The sequence below is a fragment of the Homo sapiens genome, chromosome 6 (genome assembly GCF_000001405.40).
Source record: "Homo sapiens chromosome 6, GRCh38.p14 Primary Assembly".
NCBI lineage: Eukaryota > Metazoa > Chordata > Mammalia > Primates > Hominidae > Homo > Homo sapiens.
This window is the reverse complement of record NC_000006.12, coordinates 36,420,832-36,437,783: the sequence shown is the minus strand read 5'-3', so window position 1 is coordinate 36,437,783 and position 16,952 is coordinate 36,420,832. Positions and strand designations below refer to the sequence as shown.

The 16,952-nt window shown below is 41.7% G+C and overlaps 1 protein-coding gene across 2 annotated transcripts in view, besides 2 other annotated features; it reads left to right on the top strand.

Moving 5' to 3' along the window:
- The window catches only part of PXT1 (peroxisomal testis enriched protein 1), a 52,304-nt gene that overhangs the window by 5,071 nt on the left and 30,281 nt on the right, over positions 1–16,952 (top strand). For both annotated transcript variants that reach the window (XM_011514400.3, NM_152990.4), the window contains one exon: positions 11,693–11,870. In XM_011514400.3, coding sequence (XP_011512702.1) covers positions 11,693–11,870 — 178 coding nt within the window. The remainder of the gene's footprint in view (positions 1–11,692; positions 11,871–16,952) is intronic.
- Positions 5,250–5,319: an enhancer, noted in NCBI's record as "active region_24427". NCBI's record gives its function as "activates an Ori minimal core promoter by ATAC-STARR-seq in GM12878 lymphoblastoid cells {active_cell/tissue: GM12878}" and the evidence as "EXISTENCE:reporter gene assay evidence [ECO:0000049][PMID:35858748]".
- Positions 5,330–5,469: an enhancer, noted in NCBI's record as "active region_24426". NCBI's record gives its function as "activates an Ori minimal core promoter by ATAC-STARR-seq in GM12878 lymphoblastoid cells {active_cell/tissue: GM12878}" and the evidence as "EXISTENCE:reporter gene assay evidence [ECO:0000049][PMID:35858748]".

The window sequence follows — 16,952 nt, the reverse complement described above, 5'->3', positions numbered from 1 at the left end:
AGCACATTGGGAGGCTGAGGAGGGCAGATCACAAGGTCAGGAGATCGAGACCATCCTGGCTAACACGGTGAAACCCCGTCTCTACTAAAAATATTTTAAAAAATTAGCCAGGCATGGTGGCGGGCGCCTGTAGTCCCAGCTACTCAGGAGGCTGAGGCAGGAGAATGGCATGAACCCAGGAGGCAGAGATTGCAGTGAGCCGAGATCGCGCCATTGCACTCCAGCCTGGGCGACAGAGCAAGACTCCATCTCCAAAAAAAAAAAAAAAACCCACACAAAAAATATTTTTTGTTTATATGTGAAACAGACAAGTTCTAGATTCAGATCATTATAACTGGATTTTTTGCCTACATGAATATCCAGAGGGACAGTCAACATACAGAATGTAGGACAATTTTTTTGTGGAGGGCAGGACCTTTACAGGCATTGGAGGAGGTCTGACATACCTGACTCTACCTATTAAATTTGGGTTTTTTTTGGTTTTGTTTGTTTGTTTTGAGATGGAGTCTCGCTCTGTCGCTCAGGCTGGAGTGCAGTGGTATAATCTCGGGTCACTGCAACCTCCACCTCCTAGGTTCAAGCGATTCTCCTGCCTTAGCCTCCCAAGTAGCTGGGATTATAGGCCCGTGACACCACGCCCGGCTAATTTTTGTATTTTTAGTAGAGACAGGGGTTTCACCGTGTTGGCCAGGCTGGTCTTGAACTCCTAACCTCAAGTGATCCGCCCACCTCAGCCTCCCAAAGTGCTGGGATTACAGGCATGAGCCACTGCACTTGGCCTCTATATTTGAATATAACCTCACATTAATGTAACTGTACAATTGCACCCCAAAATTTTGAACAATGCCCCCTAGAGACTAGTACACCCTAGTTGAAGCCTACTTATCAAATATCCCATACTGTGAAATTTTTGTTCACTGTTGTAACCTTGCATCTAGTTTGATGCCTGACACATAGTAAGAATTTAATAAATATTTCCCAATGGACACAAGAGAGTTCCTTTTACTTACATGGCATTTTTCATATTCCTTATGATAATGATTCACATTTGTTTTTCCAGTCCTGACCTCTCTTCTGAGCTCCAAATTCATATTGGCAAATGCCCACTTAACATCTTTACTTGAATGACTTTCACATACCTCAAACACTAAGTATATCCAAAATTGAACTCATCATTTCCTGCCATTGCATCCCTCCCCCAGATACAACCCAGTACCAAACAAGGCAAAATGTTAATTCCGTGCTGGTGCTCTCTGGTTTAGTAACTGCCACTATGACCCACTTACTTAAGGAATCATCAAAACCCTGGCATTATCCATGATTATTTTCTACTTATCATCCCATTTTCTAATCAATCAATTCTAGTTCCTAAATCTCAAATTTATCTCCTTTCCATCTCCAGTGCTTCTGTCCTAGTGGATTATTGAATTACTACAGTGGTCTCTTGCCTGCTTCCAAACCACCTCCATCCAGTAGCCAAAGTGATCTTTTAAAACAGAAATCCCATCAGGTCATCCCTATGTTTAAATTCCTTAAAGAGTTTCTCACTTTTTTTTTAGGACAAAATCTAAAGCCCTGCAGGATTTGGCCCCTGCCTATGTATCTTTTCTTATTTTGTGCCACTTACTCAGTACTCTGCAATCATGCTGGCTTTTTTTTTTTTTTTTTTTGGCTTACTTTTTTTTTTAATTAATTTTTATTAAATGAATCCAGGCACATCATTTAAAAACCAATCATTGTTAAGCAGTTTATTTTTTGAAAAAGTTTATGGCACAGTCTTGTTTTCCAGGATCCCTGCTTTCATCTCTGTTGACTTACTCCTTTCTTTTGGTAGAGCCCTTCCCTTCTCCACTAGCTTCCTGATGCAAGGGAGGTTAATTTTTTGAGATGTTGCAGGAAAAGGGGGTTTATTCTAGTCTTACTTGTTTGTTAGTGTGAGTAGGTGTACAGTCTAGATTGGAAAACATTTTCTCTCAGGATTTTGAAAGCTCTGCTGTCTTCTAACTTCCAATAGTGCCATCAAGTTTGTTCTTAATTGATTTTTTTCAATCTGGAAGATTTTAGGATCTACTGTTTATCATTGATGAATTCCAAGATGTGTGTGTGTATATTGGTTTAGGTCTTTTCCATTTGTTGTTCTGGGCCTTTTCATCCTGGAGACATATTTTGTTCTTTTGTTCTGCGATGTTTTCTTGCATTTGTTTGTTTCTTTTCTTTTCTTAGGGACAGGGTCTTACTCTGTCACCCAGGCTAGAGTGCAGTGGCATGGTCATAGCTCACTGCGGCCTGGAACTCCTGGGCTCAAGTATCCTCCTGCCTCAGCCTCCTGAGTAGCTGGACTACAGGAGCAGAGCACCATGTCCAGCTAATTAAAAAAAAAAAATTTTTGTAGAGATGGGGGTCTACCTATCTTGGCCAGGCTGGTCTTGAACTTCTGGGCTCAAGCGATCCTCCTGCCTTGACCTCTCGAAGTGCTGGCATTACAGGCGTAAGCCATTGCACCTGGCCTGGTTAATTTTTAAAATTTTTTGTAGAGATGGGGTTCTCCAACTTCTGGGCTGAAGCAATCTTCCCTCCTCAGCCTCCCAAATGCTGGGATTAAAGACATGAGCCATCACACCTGGCCACATTTGTTTCTTTGATAATTTCTTCTCTAAAGCTTTTGCTAATTTTTCTTTTTTCTTTTTTTTTTCTGGAATTCTTATTATTCAGATATTGTAACTTCTAGATACTCTAATTTATCTTTTTTATTGTCCATATTTGTCTTCTGTGACAATTGAGTTTTTCATTACCTTCAAGGGTGATTTTCAATCACATAAAAGTACCTTTCAGAAAAGTTAATCTCCCTAAGCTGTTAAAAGAGGCATAAAGAGAAAATTATAACATTTCAGCTGATACATTTTATTGTTTTAGTTAAAAGGCTAGCAAATTTTAGCAATCAATTGAAAAGGGGCTTTTGCCACTTAACTAAAGACAAATCTTTTCAAACCACAGACATTTCAAATATTTTATTTCTTCTTTATATACCTGAATTGTCTGACTGACAAACCTTCTCAAGTACTTAAGCATCTATTGTAGACCTGATAATGTTATAAATATGCATGATTATTGATTCTCTTATAAACGAACTTCTCTTGGAAATTACAAGTATAGATTTGATTTTATTTGGCCTTTATACACCCAACTATTTCATCAAAACTAAGGAGAATTTCAGTTATGTCATTAATGTTCCATTACGATTGGAACCTATAATGGCTACCTCATTTGGTTGGATTCAACTAATTTATTTATTGCTTTTCAAAATAGGCCACAATTCTTAGAGACATTAACATAAAATTTTATTAAATTTTAGATCTCTCCTGACTTTTTTATTATGAAAAATTTCAAACATAAAAAGTTGAGGGTATAGTATTTCAACAAGTATACCCATTACTTAGATGCAATAATCACCAACATTTTGCTGTGTGTGTACATTCCAAGATGTGTGTGTATATATTGGTTTAGGTCTTTTCCATTCGTCATGCTGGGCCTTTTCATCCTGGAGACATATGTCCTTTTGTTCTGGGATGTTTTTTTGCATTTCTTTGTTTCTTTTCTTTTTCTTTTTCTTTTTTTTTAGAGACAGGGTCTTACTCTGTCAACCAGGCTGGAGTGCACTGGCATGATCATAGCTCACTGCAGTGAGCTCCCAATATTTGCTTTATTTCTATGGCTATTTATTATGAAAAATTTCAAATATAAAGGAAGTTTAAGACAAATACAGCCAACACTAGTATATCCACTACTTATAATAGATTAAACAGTTGTTAACATTTTCTCATATTTTCTTTATTTTTATATTTATCTATTTTGCTGAACTATTTGAAAGTAAGTGGCGGACAATATGACATCTCACTTCAGAATTGCATTTGGCTTTCTTATCTCTTTAGCCTCTTTTCTTTTCTTTTTTTTTTTTTTTCCTGAGACAGAGTCTTGTTCTGTCACCCAGGCTGGAGTGCAGTGGAGTGCAGAGCTCACCGCAATCTCTGCCTCCCAGGTTCATGCCATTCTCCTGCCTCAGCCTCCCGAGAAGCTGAGACTACAGGTGCCTGCCACCACGCCTGGCTAATTTTTTTTTTTTGTATTTTTTGGTAGAGACAGGTTTCATCATGTTAGCCAGGATGGTCTCGATCTGCTGACCTCGTGATCCACCCGCCTCGGCCTCCCAAAATGCTGGGATTACAGGCGTGAACCACCGTGCCCGGCCTAGCCTCTTTTCATGTAGAGCAATGCCCTTCCCCATCTGCCTACCATTTTGTTCCCCCATGACACTGATTTCTTAAGGACATCAGAGCAGTTTTCTTGTAGAATCTTCTCATGACTTTTCCTGAATTATAACAATCTCCAAGGTCATTCTCTTTTGGAGCACTTTTTTTGTCTTTATCTTTCACAATGTATATATTTTTTACAGATTTCTAATTATAGTATTTGTAATTTCCAGCTGCTCTTGTTTATTCTTATAGTGTTTCTTCTTTTAGCATCCTGTTCTTGTTTCATGGATATCATATTTCTCTGATGATATAATTTCTTTGAAGTATTTTTATGCTCCCTGCATTGTCTCAGTTTTCTGTGATTCTTTTCCCCCCTGATTCCTCCATGCTTGAGGTTTAGAATTTTTTTTATGTTACAGATTTTCCTCTAGTATCCGATGATTTTTGTACATTTATATTTTAAGAATAAAGTCCTAAAAGCTAATTGGAAATTCTAAGTATATGCTTGAGTCTTATCAATTGAAAGAATTCACTGGAGGCTTTTTCTATGGGAGCCACCAATATGTCAGGTTTTTTCCCCTAAGAAGTACCTTTTTTTTTTTTTCCTGCTAGAGAGTAGAACCTGGTTATGAAGTTCTACATCTATGCAGGAGAAGAGGCCTGGGTGTTTTCTTTTCAGTAATATGTCTGACTCTCACTCTGATCTATGCCAAGTGTCCCCCTATCTGTAACTCCTTTAGTTTACTTTCTCCAGAGGTGGCATTTCCCATTTCCTATGGAAGTAAAAGTATAGCTTGATTACATTAGATAGGGTGGGGCTCTGGGAGACCTGACTACTTCTTAAACAGATTTTCAAACAAGTGTCCTTTTTGAAGCACTACATTTCTCCCATCTATCTCCCTTCCTTTAACTTCCCTCTGCACGTCACTGCTTCTGATACCTGAGTCTTTCCAGGGCTCCTCAGGGAGACGTGCCTTGCTTCTCCTTGTTTTCTTCTTCTCTAAGCACTTAGGCTTGACCTTCCTTGGATCTGCTAAGTCCTTTAATAGCCTCTATCCATTTTCTATTTTCAGGCATTGTGGTTTGAGGTGAGTCTCAGTTCAAGAAAAATGAAATGAGTGTTTCTGTGTATTTCCCCCCAATTGTTATTTTTGAGAGTGGCATGGGGAAGATCTCAGCTATTTTGAATTGAAAGTTCTGTTTTTATTTTTAGTTCTTTACATGCCTTGAATTCTTTACTACCTTTGGGCTTTTGCATTTGGTGTTCAGCTCTCCCGGACATTCTTTTTCCCTCGCTCATCCTCCCTCCAGGCTAATTCCAAGTCAAATTTTAGGTCCTAACTTAAACATCATTCCTAGATGAGTCCTTCCTGACCATCTAGACTAGGTTAGGTCCACCCCTCATGATATATTATATCTATCTATCTACCTGTATATACTTTTTAAAAAATATTTTAATTTGTTGAGACGAGTCTTGCGCTGTGGCCCAGGCTGGATTGCAGTGGCGCAATCTCGGCTCACTGCAACCTCTGCCTCCCAGGTTCAAGCGATTCTCCCGCCTCAGCTTCCTGAGTATCTGGGATTACAGATGCCCACCACCATGCCCGGCTAATTTTTGTATTTTTAGTGGAGACGGGCTTTCACCATGTTAGCCAGGCTGGTCTCAAACTCCTGACCTCAAACGATATCCTCACCTCGGCCTCCCAAAGTGCTAGGATTACAGGCATAAGCCACCACGCCTGGTTTAGATAGATAGATATATATTTTTTAGGCAGGGTCTCACTCTATTGCCCAGGCTGGAGTGCAGTAGCCCAATCTGGCTCACTACAACCTCTGCCTCCCAGACTCAAGTGATCCTTCCACCTCAGCCTTCTGAGTAGCTGGGACCACAGGCACATGCCACTACACCCAGGTAATTTTTCTATTTTTTGTAGAGACACGGTTTCATCACGTTGCCCAGGCTGTTCCTGAACTCCTGATCTCAAGTGATCAGCCCACCTCAGCTTCCCAAAGTGTTGGGATTACAGGCATGAGCCACCGTGCTGGGCCAATGTACTCTTGTAACGCCCAACATGACTCTAATATAGCCTCTTTCTTCTGCTAGACTGTAGCTCTGCAAGAAAAGGAACAATGTGTGTCTTGTTCACTGCTATATCCCCAGGGTCCAGAGCAGTGCCTGGCATTCAGTAAAAGATCAATATTTTTCATTGTCAACCAACATACACTGCTTGCTGTAAAGATTTGTAGCTTAATTTACAGTTGCCATCACTAATAAGTAATTATTTAGAGTTCAGCATTCCTAGTTATTATGATCATCTGTTTATTGCTATGGACAAGAGCCCATTTTATAGTATAGTTTTTCCATAATTACATTTCCAAATTTATCTTACAATGAACACTTTTAAAATGACAATTTACGGCCAGGCATGGTGGCTCACGCCTGTAATCCCAGCACTTTGGGAGGCCGAGGGGGGTGTATCACTTGAGGTCAGGAGTTTGATACCAGCCTGGCCAACATGGTGAAACCCTATCTCTAGTAAGAAATACAAAAATTAGCTGGGCGTGGTGGTGAGCTCCTGTAATCCCAGCCACTCAGGAGGCTGAGGCAGGAGAATTGCTTGAGCCTGGGAGGTGGAAGTTGCAGTGAGCCAAGATCGCGGCACTGCACTCCAGCTTGGGCCACTGCACTCCAGCCTGGGTGACAGAGCGAGACGTTGTCTCAAAAAATTAAAAAAAAATTAAATAAAACGACAATTTACTAACAATATTATGCACTCAGATTAACGTAGTATATAAGTTTTCTACTGTTGCTGTAACAAATGACCACAAACTTAGTGGCTTAATACAATACAAATTTATCTTACAGTTCTAGGGGTCAGAAGTCTAAAATGAGTTGGCAGGGTTGCATTCCATCTGGAGGCTCTAGGAGAGAATCCATCTCCTTATCTTTTTCGGCTTCTAGAGGCTGCCTGCATTCCTTGGGTTATAGATAGATTCTTCTCATGTCATTCTGACCTCTGCTTCCATTGTCACATTTCTTTCTGTGAATCTGGCCCTCTTGCCTCCCTCTCTAAGGATTATATGATTAGGTTGGGCCTAGCTAATCCAGGATAATCTCTTCATCTCAAGAGCTTTAATATAATTACATCTACAGAGTCCATTCTGCCTGGTAGGGTAACATATTCACAGGTTCTGGGAATTAGGATGTGGACATTTTGTGAAGCTGTTATTTAACCTACAACACATAGACAGCAAAATGTGAACCCATAGATGAATTAATAATTAATGGACAGAAGAAATGATAAGAGATTTACTTTTTTTTTTTTTGAGATGGAGTGTCGCTCTGTCACCCAAGCTGTAGTACACTGGTGCGATCTCACCCCACTGCAACCTCTGCTTCCCGGGTTCAGGCAATTTTCCTGCCTCAGCCTCCCAAGTAGCTGGGACTACAGTCATGCGCCACTACGCCTGGCCAAGTTTTGTACTTTTAGTAGAGACAAGGTTTTGCCATGTTGGCCAGGCTACTCTCGAGCTCCTGATCTCAAGTGATCCACCTATCCACCTATCTGGGCCTCCCAAAGTGCTGGGATTACAGGCGCGAGCCACTGTGCCTGGCCAAAAGCTTTACTTCTAATGTATTTTAAGCTTTATATCAGAACAACCCACAAAGAAATAAATTATTTTATTAAGTAAAAACTTTCGTAAATATATATCAAAATAATAAGACTTAGCCCAGCATGGTGGCTCACGCCTGTAATCCCAGCCCTTTGGGAGGCCGAGGTGGGTGGATCACTTGAGGTCAGGAGTTCGAGACCAGCATGGCCAACACGGTGAAACCCTATCTCTACTAAAAATAAAAAATTAGCCAGGCATGGTGGTGTGCACCTGTAATCCCAGCTACACAGGAGGCTGAGGCAGAAGAATCGCTTGAACCTGGGAGGCGGAGGTTGCAGTGAACCGAGATTGCACCATTGCACTCCAGCCTGGGTAAAAGGAGTGAAACTCCATCTCAAAAAAAAAAAAAAGAAAAGAAAAAAAGAAAAAAGAAAAGTGAAGAAAAAGAAAATAATAATAATAATGACAAGATACCTAACATAAACCAGTAATTATTAAATAGACAACATACATCAACTAAATGGTTGCTGAAGCATCTGCAGATATATTCTCATGCTTTCATGAATTCTGAGATTTCCTGGTTATATAATATTTTCAGGTAGGGCCAACATTTCTTAAGGGTAATTATGCAATTTTTTTTTTTTTTTGAGACAGGGTCTCACTCTCACTTTGTACCCCAGGCTGGAATGCAGTGGTGTAAACATGGCTCATTGCAGCCTCAATTTTCTGGACTCAAGTGATTCTCCCACCTCAGCTTCCTGAGTAGCTGGGATTACAGGTGTGCGCAACCACTAGGCTAATTTGTGTATTTTTTTGTAGAGACCAGATTTCACCATGTTGCCCAGGCTGTTCTCAAACTCCTGAGCTCAAGTGATCAGCCCACTTCAGCCTCCCAAAGTACTGGGATTCCAGGCATAAGCCACACCACTTCTGGTCCTGACATATATTTTAAAATAAGTTTTAGGCTGTGCGCGGTGGCTCATGCGTGTAATCCCAATACTTTGGGAGGCCGAGGTGGATGGATCACCTGAGGTTGGGAGTCCGAGACCAGCCTGGACAACTTGGTGAAACCCCGTCTCTACTAAAAATACAGAAATTAGCTGGGCTTGGTGGCACCACTGCACTACAGCCTGGGTGATAGAGCGAGAGACTCCGTCTCAAAAAAAAAAAAAGTTTTAGATGAAAAATATAATTAGCATTAATTATTTTCAATGAATACCTATTAACATCCTGCAGTATTGTTTGGGGGAAATTATAATAAAAACCTACTTGGGAAAAATAAAATCCAACATTCTTGATAGTTTAATTTAAAAGGCTGTGGTTAGATATTTTATTCTCAGTTGTCTAGCAATGTCACATGAATGACTAGTACAAAATGACAGTTTCACAATGGGCTAATGGGTAAAGCTGTCAGCCGGCCAGCTCTTTCAGGTAAGAAACTCGCCTGGTAGCTACATCTTGATTATCAACTTTGCTCATTTAGGAATAGTTGTCTTTTTTTTCAGTCTCGCTCTGTCGCGATCTCGGCTCAGTGCAACCTCCACCTCTAGGGTTCAAGCCAGTCTCCTGCCTCAGCCTCCCGAGTAGCTGGGACTACAGGTGCGTGCCATCACGCCTGGCTAATTTTTTGAATTTTTAGTAGAGACAGGGTTTCACCGTGTTAGCCAGGATGGTCTTGATCTTCTGACCTCATGATCCGCCCGCCTCAGCCTCTCAAAGTGCTGAATTACAGGCGTCAGCCACCGCGCCCGGCCAGGAATTTTAGTACTTTTATCAGTTCATCCAGGGCTGATCTGGCTCTGACACATGAGCTGAACAGCATGTCTTACCTGACAAATCAAATTAGGGTCAGAAGTTTGCCTAATGAGTCCAGTTAAAATGCCAGGCTGCCCAAGGCACTAAAAATGCCCAGAAACCCACAACACCTCATTTCTCAGCTCCCTATCCCCCAGTCTGGCCTGAATTACAAACTTAAGCAATACATTGAGGTAGCAGTCTACACTGGAAAATATGGTACATTTGAAAAACGATGAGTCACAATTCTATTTGACAATCTTTCTCCCCTTGGTTTGTATGGCTGGCCGTCCAGTAAAGTACAGTACAGTGGCCACTGGCTGCATGTGGCTACTGAGCACCCAAAATATGCCTAGTCTGAATTGAGATGTGCTGTAAGTGCAAAATGCATACCAGATTTTGAAGACTTGACTTAAATTAATAAGAATGTAAAATATTTCATTAATAATTTTTTATATTGATTACATGTTGAAATGACAATATTTAGATTTATTTGGGGATATATTAGATTAAATAAAATATATCATTAAAATTAATTTTACTCATTTCTTTTTACTTATTAAATGTAGCTACTAGAAAACTTAAAATCATATATGTGGTTCACTTATTTTTATTAGACAGCACTGATGTAAGGCTCCTGAAGTCCACCTCTATTATCTTAGCAGCTCATTGTGGTCTTAGCCATTCTTTCCCTTTCCAGTAACTTAGATTTAGAAGTTAGAATAGAAGGTAGATTTAGGAGGTAGAACAGAAAGTTTTGAACTCTGTGGCCACCCTTCAAGTCAAAAGAATTAAATGCCCAGGAAGACAACAAGTCATAATGCGGCCGGGCATGGTGGCTCACACCTGTAATCCCAGCACTTTGGGAGGCTGAGGAGGGCAGATCACGAGGTCAGCAGTTTAAGACCAGCCTGGCCAATATGGTGAAACCCCGTCTCTACTAAAAATATAAAAATTAGCTGGGCATGGTGGCACGCACCTGTAGTCCCAGCTACTCGGGAGGGTGAGGCAGGAGAATTGCTTGAACCCAGGAGGCAGAGGTTGCAGTGAGCCGAGATCTGCACTCCAGCCTGGGCGACAGAGCAAGACTCTGTCTCAAAAAAAAAAAAGAAAAAAAAAGTCCTAATGCAATTCTTCATCTCATTTGGATTGATTCTACAATATTGGAGGGGAAAAGGGAAAGGGGGCGGAAGAGTAATCTTCATATTAGTGTCTGCAGAGACAGAATGTGTGTGTATGAAGGATCAAAGAGGACTATGAGAATTGTTTTGGGGAGGAAACACACACACACATGAGGAAATAGGACAAAGAGTGTGTTGTATTCCATCTCCACCCCTCTCCGCCTCTCTAGGTTTTGATCTACTTTATTTTGGCTATACCCATTTGTCTCTCTTTTTCTCAGTGTACCAATTTACACACTTCCCCTGATGGAATGTGGCTCTTGAAAAGAGAAGAGGCCAGGTGCTGTGGCTCACGCCTGTAATCCCAACACTTTGGGAGGCTGAGGCAGGCGGATCACCTGAGGTCAGGAGTTTGAGACCAGCCTGGCCGACATGGTGAAACCCTGTTTCTACTAAAAATACAAAATTAGCCAGGCGTGGTGGCGCATGCCTGTGATCCCAGCTACTCAGGAGGCTGAGGCAGGATAATTGCTTGAACCCAGAAGGCAGAGGTTGTGGTGAGCCGAGATGGGGCCATGGCACTCCAGCCTGGGCAACAAGAGCAAAACTTCGTCTCAAAAAAAAAAAAAAAAAAAAAAAAAAAAAAAAGCGAGAGAGAGAGAAGAAAGACTAATGGGAGATAAGGATGCAGGCCGGTGTAATAGGTGATAAGGATGCGGCAGCCTAGAAAGATGTTTAACTAAATCGAAAAAGACCTTAGGGATCACTCTGGTCCACCTTCTACCCCAATCCATAACTCTCTTATATGTGGAATAAATGCTGCTGATATTGTTAAAACATTAATATTTATCTAAAATACCAAATATTTACTGAGAAATGGGGGAAAGCCTCTGAAAATATGTTTTTCAACAGGGAAAAAACATGAAGAAAAAACATGATGGCATTGTTTATGAAACTAAAGAAGTTCTCAATCCATCTCCCAAAGTAACACATTGTTGCAAATCACTGTGGTTAAAATACAGTTTTCAGAAGGCATACATGACCCAACTTGTCAGCTCCCAGCCAGTTCCAGCCATGTCAAGGAACCCAGGTAAGATATTTGGATTAAACTAAGATAAATAGTTTACTTAGCATGTGTTTTTCTTGCTATTAAGACCATAAAATTGGACATTAAATATATATATATATATATATATATTTTTTGTTTTTGTTTTTTGAGACAGAGTCTCGCTCTGTCACCCAGGCTGAAGTGCAGTGGTGCCATCTCAGCTCTCTGCAACTTCTGGCTCCTGGGTTTAAGCGATTCTCCTGCCTCAGCCTCCCGAGTAGCTGGGATTGCAGGCGCCCACCACCACGCTGGGCTAATTTTTTAAATATTTTTAGTAGAGAGGGGGTTTCACCATGTTGGCCAGGCTGGTCTCGAACCCCTGACCTCAACTGATCCCCCCTCATAGGCCTCCCAAAGTGCTAGATTTACAGGCGTGAGCCACCGTGCCCAACCCACATTAAATATATTATTTAAATATGAACTATAAGAAAATCTATTCATCCCAGTTCTTAGGTGGCAAAAATCTAAAAGTGACTTTGCTTCATGGTACTAAATCTCTTTAGTTTCCATTAGCCCTGAATCATTGCTGTGACGACCAATTAAGGTAATCCCAAATGGGCTAAAATAGATCAAATTTATCTTTTAATAAAAATTAGTCTTTAAATTGGACCTGACAGTGTCAGTATTGTTAAGGTAGGGAACATTCAGATTAGATTTCTTCTCGATTTTGCCACTAGAGGAGAGAACATGAAGGAAAGATACATTTGGAATTTTGCTTTGCAAAAATGTGTGATTCCTAAATGCCCCAGAATGCTGGAAAATTAAAGTTTTATGTTTTGAAGAGCATTAAAGGACAGTGTTAGGTAAATTTATGAGGTTTTAGGCTTTTAGATAAAAAATATGCTAGATACCTGAGAGGGATTATGAACATTAACTTCAACCTAATATCTAATTTTAAAAGAATTACATGCCACTTGAGAAAGGGAAATTTCAAGCATCCTGATAGTTGCTTGCCACCACACCAGATTTTTTTTTTGAGATAGAGTCTCACTTTGTCGCCCAGGTTGGAGTGCAGTGGTACAGTCTCGGTTCACTGCATGCCCGGCTAATTTTTGTATTTTTAGTAGAGCCGGGGGTTTCACCGTGTTGGCCAGGCTGGACTCCTGACCTCAAGTCATCCGCCCGCCTCGGCCTCCCAAAGTACTGGGATTACAGGTGTGAGCCACCGCGACCGGCCTGGTATCCATTTTTTAGAAAGCACTGAATTGACTGAAATTTTGAATCTTCATCTGTTTTTGTATTTGTTTTTGTTTTTTTGAGACGGAGTCTCGCACTGTCACCCAGGCTGGAGTGCAGTGGCGCGATCTCGGCTCACTGTAGCTCCGCCTCCCAGGTTCACGCCATTCTCCTGCCTCAGCCTCCCGAGTAGCTGGGACTACAGGCGCCCGCCACCACGCCCGGCTCATTTTTGTATTTTTAGTAGAGACGGGGTTTCACCGTGTTAGCCAGGATGGTCTTGATCTCCTGACCTCGTGATCTGCCCGCCTCGGTCTCCCAAAGTGCTGGGATTACAGGCGTGAGCCACCGCGCTCCGCCTGAATCTTCATTTGTTAATTCCGTTGTCAACAACAATTATTCCCCAAAGTCTGAGATTGTGTCACCTATGAACACCTTCTAGGAACTTGTAATTTTTTTTAAGAGACGTAATTCACTTAACATAAAGTTCACCCTTTTAAAGTGTACGGACAGAGGGTTTTAGTATACTCACAACGTTGTGCAATCGTCGCCACTATTCTAAGATTTTATGTTTTATTGTAAACTCTTTCCAGTATGTTTTCACACTCTACCTCCTGATCCTCAGATTCCTTGTGAAGCTGATCGCTGTCTTCCGAGGCGTTCTGTGGGCGTTGCTACTTTTGCCTCAAATGCTTTCCTAATTACAGTTTCACTTCAAAAGAAGAGGCAGGTGAAGTTACTAACGCTGCTGCCCTTGATTTAGAGTTAACAACCCACTAGCTAACGTACATGCTTGTTTTCATGCCTAGAACTCCCGTTTTACCATACGCGAGTTATATGTCAAATCTCATTAGTGACTGGTAGTCTGGTGGGCCACCAATGTGCTTTCAACGCCTGCCAAACAATTAGAAACCAGGGATCTTCCAATAAAGTGCTGTCTCCCATGTCCTCCCACTTCTGGCCCAGGACACCTGGGTTGCCTTTCTGTTCAGGCAGCAGCGCGTTTCTCCCCTTCATCTTTATGATACCACTGAAGAAATGAGGGATGTGCGGAATGAGGGGGCGGTGTGAGGGGGCACGAACTTGTTATTACGGCGTCGAGAACGCCAGATAGAGTAACCAAAGACTGATAGAATAAATAACGCTGGTGTGTGTAATTCGGGAACCCGGCCTCCCTAACTCCCGCTCCCGCCAGGAGCCCGAGGCGAGCTACGCGCGCGCCGCCGCCGGCCGCGTCGCCATGTGCGCTCCCCATTGGCCACAGCTGGCCCACGTGACCTCTATCGCCTAACCTGCTCGTCCGCGCGCGCGCTTTTTCCACCACAGAAAGCCTAGGGCGGGAGCGGGGTTCTCACTGGTTGCGCGGGTCGCGCGCCCAGCTAAAGTGCGCGAGGTGGTTCCGAGGACCTGGCGGCGCTCTCTGGCGGGGAGCCTGAGAAAATGCCTAAGTACTGTCCAGAGGAAAACTCTTACTGAGGAAGCAGGAGATTGAGGAGGTCCACCTCTCCCCTCAGTGGCTTCTGTCCGGGGCTGTGACACAGACAGACTGAAAATGGAAACCACAAGGCAGGAATGTGACTCGCTGAAGCCAAGATTTATCTCTTTGGGGGCGCTCTACACATACAAACATAACTCTTCGGGGGAAAATACATAATTTTTGTATGGGGAATTCAAAGCCACATTTTCTTAGAAGAGTTGAGGGTCGTGGGAAGTCCAGAGCAACCATCCTGATACACATCATTTAAGGGAAATTAGAAACTCCTGGGGAAACAAAGATGAGTAAAAGCAAAAGGAGGCCCTGCCCACCATTGCTGTGCGGGAATGGAGTGATTTGACAAGGGGCAGAAGTGTAATAATTACTGATGGGAAAGGGCTAAATAAATAAATGCGTGTGCATGTGTGTGTAAGTAGTATAAATGGGAAATATAATTGTAGAATTCAATAGAGAGTACAGTTTAGCTTATTTTTCTCTTTAAGAGTGCTTGGAAGCTTTGCTTTTGCTTTTTTTAATTTTTTGCCTCGATGGCTCACCAACCCTTCCTCCTCTAGATATACATTTTCTTTTTTAATTCGTTCATTCATTCCAGAAATTCTAGAACCTACTATATTCCAGGCACTGTGCTAGGTACTGAGATGACAGTGATAAATAAAAACAGTACCAGTTCCTTCAGTCATGGAGCGTATGGTCTGGTAAAGGAAGCAGACAGTAGTTAATTGCACATATCAATGTTAAATATAATGTGATAAGTGCTAAGGAGAGGTCTAGATGTCATAATGGGGGATTTGACCTAGCAGGGAGATCAGAGAAGGCTTCCCTCAAGATGCAACCCCTGACATGAGACCTGAAGGGGTTAAGGGGGATGGAGGTTGCAGACAGAGGGAGCAGCTTGTGCAAGGGAGAACTGGGAGCCTCTCCCCTTCCAATTACTGCCCATCTCACCCATTTCCACTATACATACATTAATCTTGCCCCTTAGTTCTCAGGAGACATTTGTTCTCTTAATTCCAAGTTCTTAGGGAGTGCCTGGTTGTAACCTACAATGATTGTTAAAGACAGTGTTATTCAATAGGTAAGTATACATATCTAATATACATATCAATATACATTTAATATACAATACATATTAATATACAGTCTAATATGCATTATCTCTGTTGTTTTGTATAAGAAAAATATACAATGACTGTAACAAATCGTAGGATATGATATATCTCAATAGAACTAAAAGTGCTGTAGACAAAGTAGTGAGAGATCACATGATTTTGGAAGACTCAAAAAAGGCATCTTAGAGAAAGTAATTTTCAAAAATCATTGAGGTAAGATTTGGTCAGATAAAGATACAATTTAGTTAGAGCATAGGGTTCTAAAAGAAGAGTAAGGAGGTTGGACCAATCAGTTGAAATACATTCCAAGGGCTTTGAAAACCAGTCTAAAAAGTTTGTAGAAACTAAGCTAGTGCAGCGGCTTGCCTCTGTAATCCCAGCTATTCCAGAGGCTGAGATGGGAGGATTGCTTGAGCCCAGGAGTTTGAGATCAGCCTGGGCAATGTAGCAAAACACACTCTCTAAAATATTTTTAAAAGTTTGTAGAAATTAAAAAGTTCTATTTAAGTTTTAAAAACTTTCCTGAGATACTTTTTCTCCCCTAATATTTGTCTTGGAAAATTTTAAATCTACAGAAAAGTGGCAAAATTAACTCTGTGGTTATTCGTAAACCCTTCCCACAGATTAATCAGTTTTGTTTTGCTTTGCTTTTTTTGAGACAGGGTCTTACTCAGTTGCTCAGGCTGAAGTGCAGTGGCGCGATCATAGCTCATGGCAGCCTCGAACTCCTGGGCTCAAGTGGTCTTCCTGCCTCAGCCTCCCAAGTAGCTGGGACCATAGGTATGCATCATCAGGCCCAGCTAATTTTTTGTTTTTTGTAGAGACAGCATCTCACTTTGTTACCCAGGCTCATCTTAACTCCTGGGCTCAATGATCCTGCCTTGTCCTTCCAAAGTGTTGGGGTTACAGGCGTCAGCCACACCTGGCCTTGGTTTTTTTTTGTCGTTGTTGTTGTTGTTTTTTAATTTTGCCCCATTTGCTTTATCCTAAGAACAAGGATATTTTTCTGCATAACCACAATACAATTATGACACTTCCGAGATACTTTTTTTTTTTTTTTTGAGACGGAGTCTCTATCTGTCGCCCAAGCTGGAGTGCAGTGGCACAATCTTGGCTCGCTGCAACCTCCGCCTCCCGGGTTCAAGCGATCCTCTTGCCTCAGCCTTCCCAGTAGCTGGGATTACAGGCGCACACCACCATGCCCGGCTAATTTTTTTGTATTTTTAGTAGGGATGGGGTTTCACCATGTTGGCCAGGCTATTCTCAAACTCCTGACCTCAGGTG